Source organism: Homo sapiens, chromosome 16, assembly GCF_000001405.40.
Source record: "Homo sapiens chromosome 16, GRCh38.p14 Primary Assembly".
Taxonomy (NCBI): domain Eukaryota; kingdom Metazoa; phylum Chordata; class Mammalia; order Primates; family Hominidae; genus Homo; species Homo sapiens.
Genome location: NC_000016.10, coordinates 3379526 through 3382084, shown reverse-complemented (window position 1 = coordinate 3382084; position 2559 = coordinate 3379526). Strand labels below are relative to the sequence as shown.

Genomic DNA, 2559 nt, shown 5'->3' with positions numbered 1-2559 from the left:
CTTCCTTGGCCTTTGGTTGTAATTTTCTCCATCAGAAACTATACTCGTGCAGAAGCCTGCAGGGTCCTGAAAATGATGTATGTAAGTGTAGAGCCTGCTTCAGGGCAGTAGGACATGCAGAGAAGGAATAGGGGTAGGAAATGGGGAAGAGGGAATTAATTGGATTGGGAAGGGTTTGTGCCATCATGAGAGGGAAGATCACAGAAACAAGGGAAAAACAAGGTTCATCAAGAGATTCTGACTCCTGAAGAGTTTAGTAGATGAGAATGGTAGGTGAAAGGAAGGATGGATATGAGAAACACTAGGAACTAAACTTAAAATTCATCTGTGATGAGTCACAGATAGTTAAACTTTTATGAAATTGCCATGGATAAAAAGTGGTAGAAGATAGGTACATTTGTCTATGGTTGTTGGCTGGTGCACACAAGGTAGTAGGACGTTTTCTAAGGTATGGTGCAAAACAAGCATCATGGTCTCTTGAGCTTTTTGAAAAGTTAAGCATTTGCCCCAAGAATACTTGCCAGCAGCACTGGCAGCTGCAGTGTTTACCCTGAGATAACTTTGCTACAAAATAGCTTGCTTTTATTATTTTTTGAGACAGGGTCTCTCTCTGTCGCCCAGACTGGAGTGCAGTGGTGCGATCTCAGGTCACTGCAACCTCTGCATTCCAGGTTAAAGCAATTCTCGTGCCTCAGCCTCCCAAGTAGCTGTGACTACAGGCCTGCACCACCATGCCCAACTAACAGGGTTTTGCCATGTTGACCAGGCTGGTCTTGAACTGGCCTCAAGTGATCCTCCTGCCTCAGCATCCCAAAGTGTTGGGATTACAGGTGTGAGCCACTGCTCCTGGCCATCTCTCTTTTATTATTTTCGCATTGCTCTAGTATATCAACTTTGGAAACAAAAGACATCATTCTATTTACAGCATTTAGTAGTGGTATTTCCTTTTACAAAATACAGTAATTCTCAATCGCTGAAAATGTCAAATCCTAGAAAACATAGCATTCTTACATATGATAACATCATTCTCTAACAGTTGTAAGCCAAAGATCTATTTGATGAATCTGATTTTTCTGAAAGACAATTCTGATGATTCAGGCAATTCTAATGTTATTTCTGTTTAGAAATAACTCCAAGAACAGTTTTTATATTTTATTTTCACATTGAAAATCAGTCACATTTGCTTCACCCTCAGAGAGCATGTTTATATGAAATTAAATGAGTGCTGGCAGCGAGCTTCACTTTTTTTCTAAGTGAGAAAAGTTAAATATGAGCAAAGGAGAATGTGCTTTCTACCTCAAATCCAGAAGAAAAAGAATTTAAGGGGACGAAGGAGAAGCAAAGGCAGAAGAGGAGAATATACTTTTGTTTCTTTATTGAGCTCTGCCTGGGCCACTGCTTCTCTCTGCATTTGCTGTCCTCGACCATGCCCCTAAGGAGAAGCTCTGCAGGACAGCTCCGAAAGTCACATATTTCACAGCCTCTGCTCAACTCAGAAAAAAACATCTTCAAAGGGCCTCGACAAAGAGGTGGGCTGGAATGTGACCTATTTGGGACACCATGACTTCATTGGTGATTCATGGTGGAGAAGAGGAGACAGGAGTGGACTAGTTACTGATGGGCTTTGGATTATCAGCTCAGAGAAGGTGGCTGGATAAATGAGGAGAGCCAGTGCAAGTCAACGGAAGAGATAAGGAAAGTGAGACACTTCGGGGCCTCACTAGTAGGCTCCTCCCATTCCTGGGCCTACCGTGGCCAGGTAAATGGGGGTACAACTGTTGAACTCCTTGCATGTTTAGGTTGCCTCTGCCCTCCAGGCTGCTTTGTCCTCTAGTCTGCTGGGCAGAAAAATGAAAACAAGTACCGTTAGAGTCTCCAATCCATGCCTGTCAGCCACTCTAGATGACCTGAAGTAGACAGGTAAGGGTTGGGAGAATCCATTCATTTATTCCGGAAACATGTGATTGCCTATAATATATGAGGTACTGGAGCCAAATATAAAGCAGTGAACAGGGCCAGGGGTGGTGGCTCACACCTGTCATCCCAGCACTTTGGGAGGCTGAGGTGGGCCGATCGCTTGAGCTCAGAAGTTTGAGACCAGCCTGGGCAACATGGCAAAGCCCCATCTCTACAAAAAAATATAAAAAATTAGCCTGGAGTGGTGGTACGTGCTTGCAGCTATTCGAAAGGCTGAGGTGGGAGGATGGCTTGAGCCCAGGAGGCAGAGGTTACAGTAAGCCAAGATCACACCACTGCACTCCAGCGTGCAAGATTCCCCATGTTAAGCGGAAAAAAAAAGCAGTGAACAAAGCTTCTTCCAGAAGCAGCCTCATTGGACTCTTCAGAGGTATCAGCACCAGTCAGGCAACACTGCCCAGCTCCCAGCTCCCAACCCCCAGCACCCTCGCCAAATCCAAGTCCCAGCTCTGCGGGGCCTCTCTTCCAAGCTTCCAAGGTCTGGTAAACCCAACCCTTTCTCTATCCAGACCCCATGTGTGGTAGCTGTTTCCTACAGTTACTATCTCTGTCACTGCAGTTTTCCCTTTACACTTTTTTTTT

The 2559-nt window shown here is 44.8% G+C and overlaps 1 long non-coding RNA gene across 1 annotated transcript in view; it reads right to left on the bottom strand.

Annotated features, from left to right (window-relative positions):
* Positions 1-2559, bottom strand: part of LOC105371059 (uncharacterized) — a 34555-nt gene that overhangs the window by 17585 nt on the left and 14411 nt on the right. The gene's annotated exons all lie outside the window — the stretch shown is intronic.